At 42.7% G+C, this 20,322-nt stretch overlaps 1 protein-coding gene and 1 long non-coding RNA gene across 10 annotated transcripts in view, besides 1 other annotated feature; one reads left to right on the top strand and one right to left on the bottom strand.

Moving 5' to 3' along the window:
• Nucleotides 1–6,327: 6,327 nt before the first annotated feature.
• The window catches only part of EPB41L5 (erythrocyte membrane protein band 4.1 like 5), a 166,043-nt gene continuing 152,048 nt past the window's right edge, over nucleotides 6,328–20,322 (bottom strand). For 4 of the 8 annotated variants that reach the window (XM_047445208.1, XM_006712651.2, XM_017004567.1 and 1 more), the window contains 3 exons: nucleotides 17,940–17,981; nucleotides 17,440–17,591; nucleotides 6,328–10,606 (listed from right to left, as the gene is read on the bottom strand). In XM_047445208.1, the coding sequence (XP_047301164.1) occupies nucleotides 10,540–10,606; nucleotides 17,440–17,591; nucleotides 17,940–17,981 (261 nt within the window). In that variant the 3' untranslated portion in view covers nucleotides 6,328–10,539. The remainder of the gene's footprint in view (nucleotides 10,607–17,439; nucleotides 17,592–17,939; nucleotides 17,982–20,322) is intronic. The other 4 variants (XM_047445210.1, NM_020909.4, NM_001330310.2 and 1 more) reach the window with 3 other exon arrangements.
• Nucleotides 8,214–8,313: an enhancer, noted in NCBI's record as "active region_16455". NCBI's record gives its function as "activates an Ori minimal core promoter by ATAC-STARR-seq in GM12878 lymphoblastoid cells {active_cell/tissue: GM12878}" and the evidence as "EXISTENCE:reporter gene assay evidence [ECO:0000049][PMID:35858748]".
• Nucleotides 10,563–20,269, top strand: LOC105373582 (uncharacterized). Of its 2 annotated transcripts, XR_923257.4 has the most exons (3): nucleotides 11,699–12,513; nucleotides 14,664–14,790; nucleotides 17,403–20,269. It is a non-coding gene; the product is annotated as an uncharacterized LOC105373582 (long non-coding RNA). The 2 variants fall into 2 exon arrangements; XR_007087216.1 differs by having other exon boundaries at nucleotides 10,563–14,790.

Raw genomic sequence — 20,322 nt, 5'->3', positions numbered from 1 at the left:
CGGCCCTGCACAGGAGAGGAAGTCACAGAATACTGTGAAGCCATGTGCACATACTCTTATGCTGAGCTGCAAAGCAGGTTATCTGAGTGGGTTCAGTGGAAGCAGGACCTTCTGTAGTGGCCCAGAAATGGACCTGGCGGAGAGGGCTGGTGTGAATGCAGGCAGTTTTCAGTTGATGGGAAGTGTCAAGGCAGAGGTCAAAGAGCTCAGGACAACAGCTGTAGATCATATTTGAGAAAAAGACAGATGAAGAGTTCCAAGGCTAGCCCAAATCAACCAGGCCTGCCCAAGAAGCTATGCCCATGCTTCTGGCCTTGCCTGAGATAGACCATGGCTGACCCAGGTTTATATACTGAATATGATAAGCACCATCCATGTTGCCCCAGACAAGCAGCTTACCAACTGTCCCCCCCTCCCCAGGTTTAGGTTGCTCATCTATGTCTTTGTGATAACCATCTTTGTGGAGTGGCTGTGGCCACTGAAAGAGCTAACCTACGTATCATAGCAGGCACAGTGCTGACACTCCAGCTATAGGAGGGGCTAGCACAGTGCTTCTGCAGGAGAGCTCAGAAGCCGGAAGGAAAAACAGTTCATGGGCCTGGGGCAGTGCATGGGTTGGCCAGGGTTTCCCAGAGTGTGGCAAGCCAACCCCTGGGGATGTTTGAGATGGTTTCATGTGATATACAGATGAAACATTTTTCATTTTAATAATTGTTTTTACATGCATATTAGAAAAAATACAAATAGCCCATTAAAAGCTGTAATTTACATTTTAGGATGAGGCTATGTGAAAGGAAGTTGATAAAATATAAAAATATGGGCTGGGCGCGGTGGCTCATGCCTATAATCCCAGCACTTTGGGAGGCTGAGACAGGCGGATCACGAGGTCAGGAGATCGAGACCATCCTAGCTAACATGGTGAAACCCCGTCTACACTAAAAATACAAAAAATAATTAGCCAGGCATGGTGGCAGGCGCCTGTAGTCCCAGCTACTCAGGAGGCTGAGGCAGGAGAATGGCATGAACCCAGGAGGCAGAGCTTGCAGTGAGCAGAGATCACGCCACTGCACTCCAGCCTGGGCGACAGAGTGAGACTCTGTCTCAAAAAAAAAAAAAGCAAAAATATAAAAATATGAACATTAAGTAACTAACACACATGTGGCAAAGATTGTGACGGTGGTGAATAGAGTGACAAATGGTCCCGGGTATGCCCTGGACATTCCTGTTTTTGTGTGTGTTGAAAGTCCCATGTCCCAGGAACCCTCTCAGCCCAGGGGAAACCAGGATGATTGGTCACTTATGTGTGAATGCCTGATGTTTGAGAAATGCTGAACTCAGGCATTAGAGTCAAACAGACCTGTTCAAATCCTGGTCCAACACCTACTGGCAGCAAGACTTGCTGGCACTTTGTAAGCACCTAACATGTTTTGATAAAGAGTACCAAATGGGGAAACCTAAATTAAGTTCCTAGTAGGAAACAAAGAGGAACATAGTGAGTGCTTAATCAATTCAGCATTCATTTGACAAATATGTGAGCACCAACTGCATGGCAGACAGCGTGCTGGGTACCCAGATGCTGCAATGGATGAGCTTATATGACTGAGGAAGACAGTTAAACAAGTAACAATTGCAAAGAGGGACAGGCTGATATTGGGGTGCTCAGAGGGATATCTGGAGAAGTGACATGTGACCTGACCCCAAAACAAGGACCCTCGAGGTAATACCTTGGAGAACCAAGTTCTTGGCAGAATGAGGAAAGGCCCAGTCATGAGGGAGAGCTGTAGAACATGCCGTGGAAGCCATAGAGAGTCTGGGTTCTGTTTTCAAGGCAATGGGAAGCCACTGAGGGAATTCAAGCAGAGGAGGATCATGACCTATTTCTGGCTATAGATCGGAAAATGGATTGGACTGGCTGAGTGCAGGGAGACCAATGGGAAGGTAACTGCAGTAGCTCAGGCCAGACGCTGACTTACTCAAGGGATGTAGCTGCAGAGATAAGGAGGTATTTCAGAGACAGACTCAGTGGGATTTGAAGACTGATCAGACAGGGGAGGAGAAACACAAATCAAAGTCAGTTCAGATAGTTCAATGAGATCAGGCCACTGAGAAGTAGCAATTTTGGCAGGTGGAGGGGAGGGGGGCTTTGGCAGAAGACTTTTAAGTTTGGCTTAAGATATACTGAGTCTAAGGTGCTTTTGTGAAATCCAAATGGAACTAGGTAGGAATGGGAATCCAGGCAGAGATCTGGGTAACAGGGATTTAGGAGGCACCAGCACATGGATGGATGTGAAGCTTCAGGAGTGTGGGAATGAGAACAGGTGGGACCGAGAATGAGAACAGGTGGGACCGAGAAGGAGGGTCCCTAGCTTTGAAGGAACAGGCAGAAGAGGAAAGTCAGACAAAGGATACCAAGTAGTGGTCAGACTGGCAGAATAACCAGGAAAAGTTGGTGTTAAACCACATGTAGGATGCTATATTACTTCACCAAATAGTCAGTGCCCTGCCCACCTTTTGAACTCAGACACACCTGAGTGATTTGTTCTGGCCAGTAAAATGCAAGCAACTGTGATGTGTGTCACTTGTAGGCAAAAATATGACAAGCCCAAGTGTGGTTCCTTGTCTCTGAGATCATAAATACACGTCAAGTCTCTTGACGTGGGTCTCTACGTGGCTTTGAGCAGAAAGCCCTCTTGTCACTTGCAATTGAAATGTGGCATGAGAAATGAACTTCATCGTAAGCAGAGCTGGTTCTGTGGATGTCGGTCACTGAGAAGGGTCCTGGGTTTGGTTTAATGCTCTGCTGTCACCATCTTGAAATCCTCAGTAATTTTTAAATAGGGCTCTGCATTTTCATTTTGCAGTAGGCCCTGCAAATGACGTTGTTGACCCTTGTAAGCCACTGAGATTTTCTAGGTCATGACTACAGTGTAATCTACCCTCTCCTAACCAATAAACCAAGAAAAGAGGGGTGGTTGAAAAGAGGACATGGAATGCTGTCATGAGGCCAGGCCAAGAAGGCCTGAGTACTGTGGCTGTACTCAGGACAGCGGGTAACCCATTCAGGAAGTGTGGCTGTGAAGGAGAGAACATGGAGGACACCAGAGGGAGCTGTGAGAAAGAGAACTTTCTATTGCCTGTCTTAAGGGGGGAAATATTTGGAAAGGTTTCAATTTTATAGTGAAACGGTGTTTAGGGGAAGCATAGCATAAAGATACAGGAGATAGGAAAAAGATCCACAGAGTAAGTCCCCTTAGAAGGGAGATGGTCAGGGACCCGGGGCACAAGCTGTGGAATGAGCACGTCCATTTAAACAGGGAGGGAGGAGGAAACGTGGGTGCAGACACAGGAAGGGCTGCTGAGAGTGCTCCTGCCTGATGCTTTCTGCTTTAATCTGCAAGGTAGACATGAGGTCATTTGCTTAGAGTATGAGGGGCCCCTGAAGAGGGACAGAGTGGAGACTATGAGACAGCTGCCATGGAGCCCTGGAGTACAAACAGAGCAGGCAACTGAGTCCTGGAGGTGAGGTGGACCCAAGAAGTTGTGACCAGGAATCTGCTCTGTGGGTGCTTTCCCTCCTGCAGCTGAGACCAGGCCCTCAGAAATGGTGGCTGGATCTCTCCAGTGATGGTAATTCACCATGTGGGTGGGAAGAACGCAAAGCAATTAAGATTGGCTAAGAACAGACCACCATCACCATAAATAATGGCAAGAACTCACACTGGAAACATTTGTTAGCACTTTTACTTGTAAGCACTCTGCAGTATTAACTCATTTAACTTCCCACACTGTGAGGAAGTATTAGAATCATCCCCATTTTACAAGGATAAGGCAGAGGGATTGGTGGATGGAGTTCCAACAGGGTGTAGTATGTTGTAATTCAGTACTAATTCATATAAAATGGCTGGCCTAAAAGTGTTGTGTGCTTTAATCTTTTAGGCAGAGAACTTTGTATGTTTTGAAGGCTTCACCGAACATGCGTTTCTTGAGCGTCTATTACTCACCAAAGCTAAGAGGAGTTGCCAGCTGCCCCAGAGGCCTGCCTGTTTCTCTGCCCACTCCATCCCAACAGCTCCTTGGCCTGACATTCCCATTGTTAGTCCACTGAGCAGGGCTTCCAACCTGAGAATCCCTGGGGGATCAATGAGTACATGAAATTTTTTTTTTTTTTGAAACAGGGTCTCACTCCATTGCCCAGGCTTCAGTACAGTGGATTACAGCTCACTGCAGCCCCAACCTCCTGGACTCAAGCGATCCTCCCAGCCTCCTGAATAGCTGGGACTATAGGTGCTCACCAGCATGCCTGGCTAATTTTTGTATTTTTTTGTAGAGACAGGGTTTCACCATGTTGCCCAGACTGGTCTCAAACTCCTGGGCTCAAAAAATCCACCCACCTTGGCTTCTCCAAAGTGCTGGGATTACAGGTGTGAGCCACCATGCATGGCCAAGCACATGAAATTGCATGCAAAGCTGCCATGCTTCCGTATTTGCAAGAGTTCCTAACCTGGAACAAGATTAAGAATCAGCAGCAAACCAAGTGAGAGTTTCCAGGGAGATGGTGCAGCTTTCCCGTGAATACCTATGAATTCACCACCTAAATGGTACTCAGAGCTCTTAAGGGGACAGCACAAGGTAAACGGAAAGATCATTCCAAGGTAAAGGGTATCGGCTACAACCCAGGCAAGAGGAAGGGCTATTTCAGGCCCTCGGGAACCCTGAAGGATGGCAGAAGCTCCCTCCAGATCCATGTTATGGTTTTCTTCTCCTTTGGGGAGGTACTGCTTGGAGCCATGAGGATTTGAATAGATTGACTTCCCCTGTGGAAATTCTGGATGCAGGTTGGAAGGGCCTTGGGGACATAGCAGATTCAGACTACTATTTGCTGCAAGTCTAGTTTAGGGAGCCAAGACAAGCAGTGCTGAGGGAAGATGTCCTGGATGCACAGACTTGAATTTCCATCCCTAGCCATGTGACCTAGGGCAAGTTCCTGTCCCTCTCTTGACCTTATCTACATACTGAGGGGCTGGGACTGGTAATCTTGAAAATCAATTCCTGCCCTAACATCATGATTTGCTAGCTTGAGAGCATGTGCTGACTGTTATCCTTGACTGGTGCACTTCAAGTGTGAAGGATACGCCAGCCTGGGCTGCAGAGGGTTCCCTGCTGTGGGGGAGGGGCTGCTCTGCCACCCCGCTGGTCTCTCCTCAGGACGAGCCTGGGAATCTAAGCACAGTGGGCTGAACATCTGCTGGGACAAGGATGGGGCCAGAGACAGATCACTCTGACTCACCACCCTGCCACCAAACTAATGGTGAGTTCTTTTTCTTGGGCCTGACAATAACCTTAGTGACCTGAGATCTGTACCCTCTTAGCCCCTCCAGGCCTGGTGCTGGCCACAAAAGCCCATTCTGGGTGACACAATGGGTTTATTTTTTGGTTATTTTGGTAGCCCAGTATCCATTCCCCTTCCTTCTGGGGAACCACAGCCTGGCCAGGGTGCCCTCTAAAGGCAGCACCTGTGGAGACACCATCCACACTCCCTCCACCTCCACTGCTGCCCATCCTCCATCTTCCTGTCAGTCCTTATCTCTCCAGTGAGTTGTTTTCGCTACTTATTGGTGGCTTTCATTACTTATTGCCAAAAACTTCCTCTTAGAAGAGCTCCTGGTACAGGTGATTGCATCTGGGTTCCAGCCCCTCTCCATACATCTCCAAAAAGCAGAGAAAAGCTCCTTAGTTTCCAGGGCCCAACTGGGCCTCTCTCCCAGGCAGAAAACAGAGGGGAGAGGGAAAGAGAAGACTTCCAACTTTTCTCAGCTTTGCCAACACCCATATGGTGCAGTATGACTCTGCCCAGCAGAAGTCCTGAAACCAACCCAGGTGGCACTGTTCCTCGCTGGATGGTGCAGTGCAAACCCAGAGAAGGCTGGGGACTGGTGGGCGCCAAGAGAAGGAGAAGTCAACACCTGCATACTCTACCACACGCTGTGACACACACTTCATGTGCCATTTCAGACAAAAAACCTGAGGTATTAAGCAGTAGAGCCCAGATCCGATGTCCAAAGCTGTGGTGATACTGCACCATGCTGTCCTTGGAATGACCACCGTGCCTTCCAGGATATGCTGGGGATGACCAATGAGGTTTTCAACCTTTGAAAATGCCCCTACTCCCAAATTTACACCACAAAAACATGGAAATCAACCTAAAAACAGTGCGGCTGCTTCTGCTCACTTCCTCAGGTTTGTACCAACAGTGGATCTGGTCTAACTCTGTTGAGGTCAGCATGTAGGAATCACAGTTCCAAGAAACAGAAACAGTGCACAAAAACATGAATGTCTCACGAAGGTTTATTTGAATAGAGTTACATCTAGAGTTCTCATTTCAGTGTACAAACAACTCAGTGCAGTGTTTCTAATACAAGTCATATAAAACTGGAACACACTAAATGAATAGTGCACTTGATAGAAAAATAAATTACACTTTAAATGCTACTGCAAAGTTTTACACATATAAAAGGTAAACACAAAATAGTTAGTGAGACCCTCATAACCACTTATCATATCCAGATAAGGAGATAAAAGGGGCAAAGGAATCTGTGCTATAAAAAAAAATCTCTCTGAAGAGGAGAAATCCTGACAAGTAACTGAATGATCATCTCAAGCAATGTGGTGACATAGGGACTTACAGATCGTATCTCTTAGAACTGGGAAGGAATCATAGCTCTACCAATGTGTTAACACAACCCAGTTCAGCTCAGGGCAAATTTCTATAATTCAAACAAATGTCCTCATACTAACGCCTAATATGTAGGAAAAGTTTCCAACTTTCTTCTGACCACTGAAGAGGTACAGTGTTTAAATTTTTGAGAGGATAAAAAGGACAAATAATCTAGAAATGTGTCTTCTTCAGTCTGCAGAAGACCCCAGGTCTCCAAGCAACCACATGGTCAAGGGCATGAATAATTAAAAGTTGGTGGGAACTCACAAAGACCCTCAGAGCTGAGACACCCACAACAGTGGGAGCTCACAAAGACCCTCAGAGCTGAGACACCCACAACAGTGGGAGCTCACAAAGACCCTCAGAGCTGAGACACCCACAACAGCACCTCGTTCAGCTGCCACATGTGTGAATAAGGATGCAATGTCCAGAAGTGTTGGCTGCCTCCAAGTGACAGGTAACACTGCAGAACCTATCTGAGGACCTGCCAGCCTCCCGTTTCACGCAGCCACTCTGCTGCTCTACAAAGTTTCACATCAGGGGTCAGCGGCTTTGTAAAGGGGACTCCGCAGGAACACAGCTGTGCTGGGGCTGCTGCTGCTGTACTGCGCCAGCAGAGCTGAGTGGGACAGTATTTACCATCTCTGGTCCTTTACAGAACAAGACTGCTGACTCCTCTCAATGACAAGACAAAAACTCTGCTTCTCGAGACTCTTACTTAGAAAAATAGCAGATTTTTCTCTCTGTGACTGATAAATAATTCTGCTAACAAGACTTCTGAAGGAAATCTTCATTTTGGGGCTTAGCTAAGAGAAGAAGAGGTGCAAGTTTTAGCCAGAAGTGAGAAGCATAAGATAACAAGTAGTCCAGATCCAAGAACCCAAGAACAACTCAGGGCTTTCATCCTTAAATCTCCATAGGATATCTGTGATTGTACAAAGGCAAAGGCTAGAGACAAATGTTAGGAGACTATAAGAAATATTTTTAAAAGTTTTTTCTTAAAACAATGTATAAATGTTAAGGAAGTAAGCACACAAGGAACAGAATCATTCCTCTGTTCAGCAGTGTCTCCTGAAGAGTAGGAATGAAATGACCATGACCTCCTGTGTGTCAAAAGATGATGCTACTGACATGTCACAAATTAGGTCTCACTGATTAATTTACAAGTTCTCAGGCAAAGTCTAGAGCAGGTAACTGAAACCTTCACGTCTTATTTTAAACCATCCTGTCAACTCCCACTTCCCCTATCAGGGCTATGAAATGGACTGAGTTGAGGTTCCTCTCCTGTCTGCCCGCAGGGAGGCAGCACTATCTGCTCCCCGCCACCCCACCGTGCTCCGTCCGAGGCGTGCACGGCAAACCCTCAGCAGTGCCCCCGGCTGCCCCTTCTCCAACCTCAGCCCAGTCTCACCAGCCTGCTTCTCACCCACTATCATCTCCAACCTTTCTCTTTGAACCCATCAAGGATGCCGGCACACATGCCTCTCTCTTCTCAAGAGACAGACATCTCCCCTTCCCTACCTGCCACATTCGTAGACCACCTCAGCCCTGCCTCTCCCCACCACACTGTTCTCAGGGGAGCAGAACAGGAAGAGCTGTTACAGCAGCTCTGCGCATGGCAGCAGCAGCAGCTATGACAGGAAACCAATCCCCAACACGCATTTAATCTGTCGGGGCCAATTCAGCATTCAAGTATGAACTTCCGTGTTTGCCACTTCATGTCAGGGCATGAGACAAAGTTTCCTCTGAGCTTGAAATTCAAGTGAATTTTAACAAAGTCCCTACCAATATTCTAACTGTCAAGAATACAGGTATCCAACGACATAAAGGTCACAGACTATGTCCAACTACCTAATTCCTAATTTTAGGAAGTTTAAAATAAGGATGTTGTCACCTCCTGAACTGGATGGGAGATTTAGGTCTTCCAAGGCATAATGCCTCAGCTGCTCTGTGGTGAGCAGCACAACGGTAACCCTGTAGGACATCTACGGTTGCCAAGACACTGAAAATTTGATGCTCATTCCATCATGTCCTGGGTCAAGCCCCTGGTTCTAGGTGTCACCTTCAGCTTTGAGAAAATATGTCCTATAATTAAGAACTGGCAAGAGCCCCACCAGTGAAACTCAGAAGCTGTTTTTAGCATAATGGCTAAGGGGAGGCAGCCAGCAAGAAGTGTTGACTTTCCTTCTGCAAAAATGTTTTGTGCAAACGTGGGTTCCAATCACTACAGCTCCCTGGGAAACAGTGCAAGATTAAAATTCCTGAGCTTTCCAGTCAGACACTAGTGTGCGTTTGCCTGGACACACGATTATGTTATAAGGAGCCCAGGAAAGTCCAATCCATGAAGTTTTAAGGATCTAAGACTGGATGTTCTTTTATGCTAAGCAGTACAAATTAGTGCTTAATTATATACATATTGCAGGACAGAAAACTAGAAAGCAAATTCCAGGAGGTATAGCTTAAGATCAGTTCTCCATAACGAGGGATTAACAACTTTACCAATATGGTTTCCACATCATCCTTCTTCCCCATGGCAACCGAGGTTTACCTTGTTCATTCGAAAATTATAAAGCTAAATAGCGTTATTTCTGGGTATTAGAATTACAGATGGACATTGCTATACTTTATTTTTCTGTGATGAGTATATATTATTTTAACATCCAGAATTTCTTTGTACAGGCCCAAAGGGATGGGGAAGTTTTAGAGATCTCTTTTAAACTAACACAGAATTCCTAGTGCAATGCAGGTTCTTTCGGTATATGCTGTGTATAGCTTCATACATGGTAGGTATTTAAGAAACAACATCCCTTCACCCCTGTTCCTATTGCCTATTTTGGTCTTGGTGTATTTGTTTTGTTTCATTTTTTTTTCCAGTTTGAAAGCTCTAAATTTATTCAGCTTATACTGAAAGGAAATGAAGTCTATGTCCAAATAGGAAACAATGTGGAGTACTGCTGTGCTGTGCCTTCATTACCTGAGACTACAGCAGCCTGCATTCTCCACCGGGCTCGGAGGAGTGCAGATGCCTGAGGTAAATGCCCCAGGGTCTCTTCAACAGTAACCCACCCCACTGATAAGTTACATGATACGTGTGTGGTGCCTGTGAGTGCTTCCTGTGGAAAGGCAGGGTGAAAAAAATATGACAGGATTTTATTTGATTTCTCCGTAGTTCTTCTCAGGGTTTATCTTGATGTAAACTTGAAATATTAAGATAGCCAGTACAGTAAGAAATCAAAAGAATGGGAGACATTTAAAAACTCTCTATATTCTAAACTTCTCTTTAGTGTTGTAATAATTGTAAAAAAAAAAAAAAGTTGGCCCTAAGTCTGCCTTTATAGTGTCCACATTAATTTCCTAAATTCTTGATTTCTAGGTAAGTCAGGAAAAGTGCAATTTCTCTAACAGGCAGCCAGATCAAGGATGCTCTCACCCTGATACTAGATGGAAATAGCTTTCAAAAGGCTGTTGACTACCAGAGGCAGGCTTGTTATGAAGTTGTTATGAACAAATAGAACCGCTAGGTGGAGCCAAGAGTTTGAAGGAAACCCCAGAAAAAGAAATTCCCTTCTTTCGGGAATTTGTAACATTTATAAAAGTATAGAAAGTTCAAGACCAAACACTCTCTTTTGGGCAGCTATGCAGTGTGATTCAACAATTCCAGTTGGACGGAAAATACAGCTGTCTTTTTTACGGAGTTGAAGTCAAATCTACGTGCAGCTTTTTTTACCTACAAATAATGGACAAGCTCCTGAATCCAACATATTCTAGCTGAAACGGATCCCAGGACGGAATGCTGGAGAGATGCGTATTCCAGCTACAGGCCCTCAGAGCTCAGTGGTCAGTAAACACTTCTGCTTCAGGACAGCTTCTTCTGCCAAAATGGGACCAGAGCTGAAAGGAAGAGAGAATGGGTTACTCAGGGAACCCCTGGGGTTTGGAGGAGGACATTCATGTCTCCATTAGTGCCACACAGAGCATTTTGAGGGTACAGCAGATTACAGACCTAAGTCAATATGTAGTAACACCTAACCTGGCAATGAGATATTCCATAGAAGGGAAATTTCTGGATAAACACTGCTTATTTCATTTTGAAATAAAATATAAAGACAGCACAATTTCCCCTTCTTAGCAAATATGTTAAACACACACTTAACCATTTCTTAATGAGTCAGGGTTAGTATGAGTATCAAGAACAGTGCTGTGCTGAGCTCAAGGGCAACACACTCAGGCTGTTCTCTGCTGCTGCTGCTCCTTTTTTTTTTTCTGTGAGACGGGGTCTTGCTCTGTCGCCCAGGCTGGAGTGCAGTGGCATAATCATGGCTCAATGCAGCTTCAACATCCCAGGCTCAAATGATCCTTCCACCTCAGCCTCCCAAAAGTAGAAGTAGCTGGGACTATAGGCCTGTGCCAACATGCCTGGCTAATTTTTGTATTTTTCTGTAGAGATGGGGTTTCACTATGTTGCCCAGGCTGGTCTCAAACTTCTGGGCTCAAGCCATCTGCCCTCCTCAGCCTCCCAAAGTGCTGCGATTACAGGCATGAGCCTCTGCACCCAGCCCTGTGTTTCTTTACATATTCCTACATGGCCGTGTCTGTGTTCCTACCAGTTAATCTATTTTGTTAGAGCCGTGTGAAAAAGAAGCCCTCATGGGCTCTGCATGAGGGCTCGTGAATTTCTGCTGTCAGTGAACTGCGTGAGTTTAGATGCAAGGAAGTAACGACATCTGATTTGGTTTCATGAAAACTGAAAACACGCTGGGTAAGGTGGCGCACGCCTGCAATCCCAGCACTTAGTGAGGTGGGAGAATCCACTGAGACCAGGAGTTCGGGACCAGTCTGGGCAACAAAGTGAGATGACGTATTTACAACAACAACAACAAAAATAGCCAGGTGAGGGTGGTATATGCCTGTAGCCCAGCTACTCAGGAAGCTGAGGCAGGAGGGTTGTTTTAGCCCAGGAATTGGAGGTTGCAGTCAGCTATGATCATGACACTGCACTCCAGCCCAGGTAATGGAGAGAGACACTGTCTCTAAAAAAAGTTTAAAGATGTAAAACGATATCAAAGTACATAATACAAAGGACATAACTTAAAATGTTGAAAGTGGTAACAAGATTTATAAATGAAACAGAGTCACCTGTACCACTCTCTATTCCTACTTTGAGGGACAAACACTTTCAACTGATTCTTTTCCTGGTATTTTCCTTCACTTTTCTGTGTCCCTGGTTCTCAAAGTGGGGTCTCTAGAATTTGGGAGAAATGCAAATTCTTAGACCCCACCCCAGATATACCGAATCAGACTATGAGGGTGGAGCCCAGCAGCCAATGTTTAAACAAACCTGTCTCCAGAGATTCTGCCTCACGACCCCCCAAAGTTCTGACTGTTCTGGGTGAGGTGTTTATACAATGACTTCCTCCTATGGACTGTGAAGGCTTACCTTTCTTCCACCCTCTCCCCAGCCCCACAATCCTGCCTTCTTATCTTTTCAGCACAGCTATATGACCAATTTTGATGATGTTAAAATTCAGTGTTTGTTGTAATTATGTAAATATTTTCACAACTATCAGTATATTTCATGTTTTATGTAACTTTTATTTTCCCTGGACTGAATAACTGCCTCATTTTTTTGTTGTCGTGATGGCTTAGTGGGTTTGTTGTTGTTGTTTTTTAGAAACGAAGTCTCAGTATGTTGCCCAAGCTGGTCTTGAACTCCCGGTCTTAAGCGATCTCCTTGCCTCAGCCTCCCGAGTACTTCTCAGTTTTCTATACAAATCTCTCATCTATCCCTAACCTCTCAGGTAAACCATGGATCTCTTCTCAGTACATTCAGACATGTAATATAATTTTTTAAAAACTGGAGGGTGGGGAGCCTGTTTGTGTTTTTCTTGGCAAAATCCTTTCTGCAACTCTATATCCTCCTTTTTGAATCTGGACAGGATCCTTTCTAGACCCACTGGGCAGCTACCATCTTGGAACCTCCCTTCACCTTTCTCTGGGTAAATCCCTGCACCTCTCTACTGCCTCCTGGGTCCCATGACTTCTTTTTTGGATAAAAAAGAGGAACATATCTTCCACTTTAGATGGAACACATCTTCCAGTAGCTTCCTGAGGAAGGCTACATGGAAAGTATATATTTTAGGGAAACTGTATGTCTAAAAATGTATTCTAATCTCACACTTCACTGATAGTTTGGGAATTCACTGATAGTTTGGGAAAACTCTGGGTGAGAAATTGCCCTCCAGAATTCAGAAAGCACACTGCTCCAATATCTCCAGCTGTCAGTAAAGTCTGCTGCCATTCTGATTACCAATCCTTTGTACGTACTCCGTTTTTCCCCTTTGCTGGAGACTTACATCCTCTCTTAACTTTGACCTCCTAAAGATTCATGATGCTCCTTGGTGTAGTCTATTTTCATTCTCTGTGCTGGGTACTCAACAGACCTCTTTAATCTAGAAACTCAAGTCCTCTGTTCTGAGAACGCTTGATTCCTTTCTTTGACAATTTCCTCCTTCCATTGACTGTAATCTTTCTAGATCTCCTATGATTCATATATAGGACGTCCTAGGCCAATCCTCCAATTTTCTTTTCTCTCCCAGTTTTCATCTTTCTATTCTACACATTTTGGGAGATTGTCTCAATTTTATCTTTTACACACTCTTTGGATTTCATTTTTAATATAGTTAATAATTTCTAAAAATGCTTGTTTTCCTTTTTTTTTTTTTAAGTTTCCTGTTATTGTTGCATGGATACAGTATCTTCGCTCTAAATTCAGATACTATGATTTTGTGACCTTTTCTTTTGTTATTTACATTGCCTTTTTTTCCTACTTCTATTTGTCAAAATTCACATTGCCTTTATTTCCTTGTTTTTCAGTTTACCTGTTCTGGTCTTTCCTCACATATCTGACAATCGTTAGCTCTCTTTGTATTTCAAAGAAAAGCTCTGGAATGTGTCTGGGACCTGTGTATATATGGGCAAAACTCATCAACGAATGGGCTCCCTGGTGATTATTTGGCAGATTCCTGGCAATTTCATCAGAGGATCCAAAAATGTATGTGCAGGCCTTTTTCTCTTTGGTTGGTTGGCTTCTCCAGAGAATAAGCCTCTTTTTCAACTCAGACATTTATACTTAGCTAACAGCATTCAGGAAACTGAGAAAAGAAGGAACGTTGGAAATTTCACCCTTCAGTGTGTGGACTTTGAGTTAGTCTTCCCGTGTTCAGTCTAGAGCCTTACTCCAAATGGAAATTCCAAGATCCAGAGCCTCTCTGGCCTGGCTCCTCCCGAGGGAAAACTTCAGAATTATGCTAAAATGGGCAAGGGTAGTGGGATGGCAGATGAGTGAAATGGGCATAAATACTTTCAACCAATCCCCATATTCTCAGCTCCACTTTGTACCCCATCTTCACAAGTATCTGGTACCTACAATTTCGTTGCCTTTTCAGGGTTCTGCAGTGTGAACTGGCTTGCTTTTTATTTTGTTTCTACTCCCTCCCCTATTCAGGCTTAGATTTTAGTTTACTCCACTCTGCTAAACTGGTTACCACTTATCATTTAGCTGCTTCCCAAAACTTGTTGAGGTCTCTTAATTGCTGATGTCTCCTTTCCTGTTCTTTGTCCTCATGATTTGATGCCTTTGAAACACAGTATCACACAGAGAACGCTGCAAAGTAAATCTAAATCTGTGGAGATGGGTGGGACCCAGTCATCATTTTTAAAAATTACTATAACATCTATATATTAAAGCACATAAGGCATGAGTTTACAGCTTGAACAACTTTTTGCAAATTGAATACACCTCTGTAATCAGCATGTAGAATATGAAACGGAACACTACTAGCACTCCCAAAGCTGCTTTTGGGCTCTCTTCTATTCACTAGCACATCAAGGGTAACCATTATAGAGTTGTGCTCCTGTTTGAACTTGATTTTGTTTATCCTTATTACAGTGGAGAAACTCCAAGATGAACCCCAAAGATCTCCATCTCCAGCTGTTCACACTCCTATGTAATCTCTAGCCCTTGGGTGTGGAAAGGACTTGTGACTTACTTTAACCAACAACAGAATATAGCAAAGGTAAAAGGATGTTATTTCTGTGATTAGACTATACAAGATTGTGACTTCTGTCTTGCTAGCAGACTCTACTGCTTTCTCAGTTTGCATGCTAGAATAAAGTAAGGAACTACTTTGGAGAGGCCCACATGGTAAGGACTGAGGGCAGCTTCTTGGCAATCACCAGCTAGGAACTGAGTTCCTTAGTCTAACAGGTCTTCAGATCCTGAATCCTGCCAAGAGCTCTGGCTGGTGCCTCTCCTTCCATTGAGCCTTCAGATGAAAACCTGGCCTTTGCCAATATTTGACTGTAGCCTGTGAGAGACCCTGAAGCAGAGAACCCAGCTCAGCTACATCCAGATTCCTGAGCCACAGAAAATGAGATTATAAGTGTGTATTGTTTGAAGCTGCTAAGTTTTGTGGTAAGTTGTTGCACAGAAGTAGACAATTAATACAATTATGTTTATGTGATTCATCTATACTGCTACATTTTAGTTGTAGTTATTAATTTTCACTGCTCTTTTCTAATATTTATCTAGTCAACTGCTAATGTGCAGTTGGAAGGTTTTCAGTTTGGACTATTATGAATATAGGTGCTATAAAAATTCTTGTACATGTCTTTTGATGGACATATATTCACAGTTCCATTGGGTATTTATATAAAAATAGAATCACTGAATATGTTCAGCTTTAGTAGATGTTGCCAAACCTATTTCCAATGTGGTTACTCCAATTTACAGAGTTTCAGTTGCCCCATATCTTCACCAAAACTTGGTACTATGTGTCTTTCATTTTAGCCATTCTGGTGATAATGTAGCACTGTGACATGGTAGTTTGAATTTACATTCCCCACGGACTAATCAAGTTGCACACTGTCTAGAATGCTTACTGGCCATTTGGATATTGGTTTGTGAACTGCCTATTCAAGCTTTTTGCCCATTTTTCTATTATGCTATCATCTTTAGCTTACTTATTTGGAGGAACTCTTTATAAATTCTAGATATGAGTGGGTCCTTTGCCATACAAAGTTAAGACTGAGGTTGCGGAGGAAGGAGAAGGGAAGGGGGTGAGAGAGGGAGAGAGAGACAGAAGGAGGGATGGAGAACAAATGTTTTCTCCTATTCTGTGGCTTCCCCTTCCATAATATCTTGAAATTACATTTTTTGATGAACAAAATTTCTTGATATAATCCAAGTGATTTTTTTCCTGTAAGACTAAAGCTCCTTGTGAGCTGTTTAAAAGATCTTTGTCTATTCTAAGGTCACAAGTAAGTTCACTCATGTTTTCTTCTATAAGTTTATTATCTGATGTTTCATATTTAGATCTGCAATCCATCCAGAATGGATTTTTGTGAATGGTATGGAGTTGGGTCAAGATTATTATTTTTTCCCCACAGGGACAACTAATCTGTCCAGCTGATTTACTAAAAGAAAGACCATTCTTTCCTTACAGCATTGCATCATCATTTTTTTCATAAACCAGAAAACTGTATTACATATGAGTTTGTTTCCAGACTCTATTCTGTTCCATTGGTTTATTTGTAATTTTTATGTCTTTAAGCCCTTTATTACTCCTTTCCATGAGTTCTAGGAAGAAAGAGATAAGCTCTGCTTTCATCTGTAATTTTTAATGTGAAAGTCCTTAAGAGCTCACATTTTATTGTGTAAATTCAATTACAAAGCATTACCGTCGGGTTCTCTGTGTGCAGCTCTATTTTTACAGTGATCATTATTAGGCATACAAATGCTTAGAAAAATAATCCATTACATTTGTATAAAGCACTCTTTTACTAGATGTAAGCTTCCCAAATGTAGGTCTCTCATCTGTCTTGTTCACTGTTATCTTTAGTGTCAGATATCAGTCAATGCCTGGTACATCACAGACATTCAATAAGTGTTTGTTTGCTGAGTAATATGCTACTTTGAACACTGTGGAGACAATTTTGAAATTAAACTGAATTTCTTTCAAGTTAATGATCTCTAATAATTCATCCTACCTTTCTCTAATTAGGAAAGCATGTATTTCAACCGACCCACATTTTCAAGGAGGATATGTGAAATGTGGGATATATTCAGAAAAAAGGTCTGAGGTAGGAGTGAAGGCAATTCTAAATCTTTTGTAAAACAGGTGCAGTTATGGTTCTAGCAAATCAAAAGTTGAAGAACCAGATGCTGAACAAAAAGCTCTAGTTTTTGAGTCTAGTTTCTGTCTGTAGCAAGCAACGCCTTGAAATGAGCTCACAACATGTATTGGTAAAGGCATCTCAGGGCTCTCACCCTAGGAGTATCCTAACTTACCCACTTATACTGCACCTCTTCACCTGTGTTGACGGGCACCATCATTCATCACTATTACAGTAGGCATAATCATAATAAATAGTAAAGCGTAAAGGGAAACAATACAAATTGACTTTAAAACAACTATTACAAAGATAAGCCTGTTAACATCTTTAGCAAAGACTTGATAAAGAAACGCTAATACAGTTTTGTAGAAAATTGCTACTGACAAGAAAAAGCCACTACACTAAATAACAAACAGAAAAAAGATTTGCCCCATTTCAATATAGTTCAGTTAGGGAAGAATTGACATTGCTGCTTTAGAGATAATAAGTTTTATTATTTTTTTCTTCCTAACAGATGCCTAAGAACTGCAAATGAGAAATAATTTTCTCACCTGGTCACAGCATCTACCAAGAATGGCGCTGGGGGAGAGATCAGTGAGATTCCATCTTTATTACCATGTCCCTCCTTCCCTGTCAAAAGCATTTCACATCCCGCAAGTCCATTAGACATGGCACCACTCTGCTGTGGGAGATACACACACAACTAAATACAGGGTAACAATACCTGCCTGGTCAGCACTTCAGCTCCAAATCAAGCTTCACTAATGACTATGAGATTAACGAAGATGGTTTTGATAATTATGACTGTTTGTTTTGTTTTTCTTAACTATTCTTCATCTGAGACTTTTACTTTTGTTTCTGCCAGCATCCTGACAAACATTTACAACCAGAAAGGGTAAGCCACTAGCTTGAAGCCATTAAGTTAAGTTCAGTTAACAAGGCTTTGATAACAACCCTCATGTTTTTAAGGAAAAACAAAGAACCTAGTAATCCTTTAGGCCTTACCCTGAAAGGGTAGCCAGAAGAAAAATCACAAATAACATGAACTTACCGGAACAATCCACCGGGGTGTGATCATGGATGTGGAAGACACCTGAAATAATTTTATATGTATGTATTTACTTTTTGGAAAGACTGACTTATTTTCATACTTATAATACTTACTTACATCTATTATGAAATCCATTCTAGGAGGGCAATTCTTAATTCTTAATGGTGTTCCTTGAGCTGACATGGACTTCTAAATCCAAGACCCTTTTCTGTTATACAACACAGATGCTATCCCTCACCACTTAAGAAAGTGTCATAATTTTGAGAATCTCTTATCTAAAAATTTACCATTCAAGAATCTATTACTACTTTCAGTTCACTTAATAGGACTGCCCCTACCTCACACCCAGTATTCAGTTTAACATTTTATTTTCTGAAATTTCAGTTAATTAATTACAAATAATGATAGCCTTCTTGGTAGCAGCCTGAACAATGGATTGTGACTAATCCAAATAAAGAGCAACAAGAAAGTACACAGAAAAATAATCTGTTTAGATACAGATCATTCTCTAATTATCATGTATGCATGAAGAAAGCGCAATAAAAACACCCATATTGCTCCTGGTTCACAGGGCCTTTGATACATTATTTTTATATGTTTAACTTTCTATTATAGGTCATCTATGTGTAGAATTATAAACTAAGGAAACCCACCCATTTTACTAGTAATTTAGACTAGTCCTTGCATTGGTGGCCTTACATACTCATAAGAAAAAACTAATGTAAGTCCAGGTATTAGTAAATTAGATAACCACCAAAAGAATAAAAACACAGGCTGGGCGCAGTGGCGCACGCCTGTAACCCCAGCATTTTGAGAGGGCGAGGTGGGCAGATCATGAGGTCAAGAGATCAAGACCATCCTGGCCAACATGGTGAAACCCTGCCTCTACTAAAAATACAAAAATTAGCTGGGCATGGTGGCATGCGCCTGTACTCCCAGCTACTCGGGAGGCCAAGGCAGGAGAATCGCTTGGAGGCGGAGGTTGCAGTGAGCTGAGATCACGCTACTCCTGGCAAAAAAGCAAGACTCCATCTCAAAAAAAAAAAACCCACAAAATCTGACTTTCCTACCAATACTTTTTAGATGCATGTTAACAGCAGGAAATAAGAGAGAAAAAATATCATAAATAATAGTAAACAAAAAATAGTTTGACAGACTTTTCCACACTTGCAGTTAATTCTTATCCTTGGTAAAGTCTTTGTTTATTAATCTAAGCTGGTCATTCCCAACGGGTGGTTCCCAGACCACATCTGCACCACCTGGGAACATGTTAGAAACACAACTTTTCAGACCCCACCCAAGATATACCAAAATTAGAAACTTGGAGGTGGGGCCCAGCAATCTTGTGTGTTAACGTCCCCTCCAAGGGATTCTGATATACACAAAAATTTGAGAATTAATGATCTATGCAAACATTCAGTATCATGTGTATTTCCAAGCCTTCAGGATGGCATCTAGCCCCTACAGCAATTCTCGTCATATCACTCATAAGGTACAAAGTTAGTCATTTCTGTTTTTTTTTTTTTTTTTTTTTTTTTTTGAGACGGAGTCTCACTGTGTCGCCCAGACTGGAGTGCAATGGTGCTATCTCGGCTCACTGCACGCTCCATCTCCCAGGTTCCAGCAATTGTCTTGCCTCAGCCTCCCGAGTAGCTGGCGCTACAGGTGTGCACCACCACCCCCGGCTAATTTTTGTATTTTCAGTAGAGACAGGGTTTCACCATGTTGGCCAGGCTGGTCTTGAACTCCTGACCTCAAGTGATCTGCCCACCTCGGCCTCCCAAAGTGCTGGGATTACAGGCGTGAGCCACCGTGTCCAGCAAAGTTAGTCATTTCTATCTCTCTCATCCCTGGAGGGAAGGAACTGTTTCAGTTGGCCCTCCATATCCATGAGTTGTGCATCTGTGGATTCAACAACTGTAAATCGAAAATATTTGGAGGGAAAAAAAGGATGGTTGTGTCTGTACTGAACATGTGCAGGCTTTTATTCTTGTCATTATTTCCTAAACAATACAATATAACAACTGTTTACCAGCATTTACACTGCATTAGATATTAGAGGTAAGCTAGATTATTTAAAATATACTAGAGGATATGTGTAGGTTATATGCAAACACTACACCATTTTATATGAGATTTAAGCATGCATGGATTTTGGTATCCAAGGGGAGTCCTGGAACCAATCCCCCACAGATACTGAGGGACAACTATACTTAATACAGTATCTTCCAGACTGTAATAATGATTGATATGTTCAATGCCATTCTTACGCTCTCATCTTTCTATAAAACTTTTTAAAAAATTAAATATATCCTTATTGTCTCAAGAAACTGCTTTATCCCCATGTTTTCTCTCATTTAATATGATGTTGAATTATAAAAGG

Source organism: Homo sapiens, chromosome 2 (genome assembly GCF_000001405.40).
Source record: "Homo sapiens chromosome 2, GRCh38.p14 Primary Assembly".
In the NCBI taxonomy this organism is placed as follows: Eukaryota; Metazoa; Chordata; class Mammalia; order Primates; family Hominidae; genus Homo; species Homo sapiens.
Note: the sequence above shows the minus strand (reverse complement) of the source record. Positions and strands in the feature narration are given on the sequence as shown.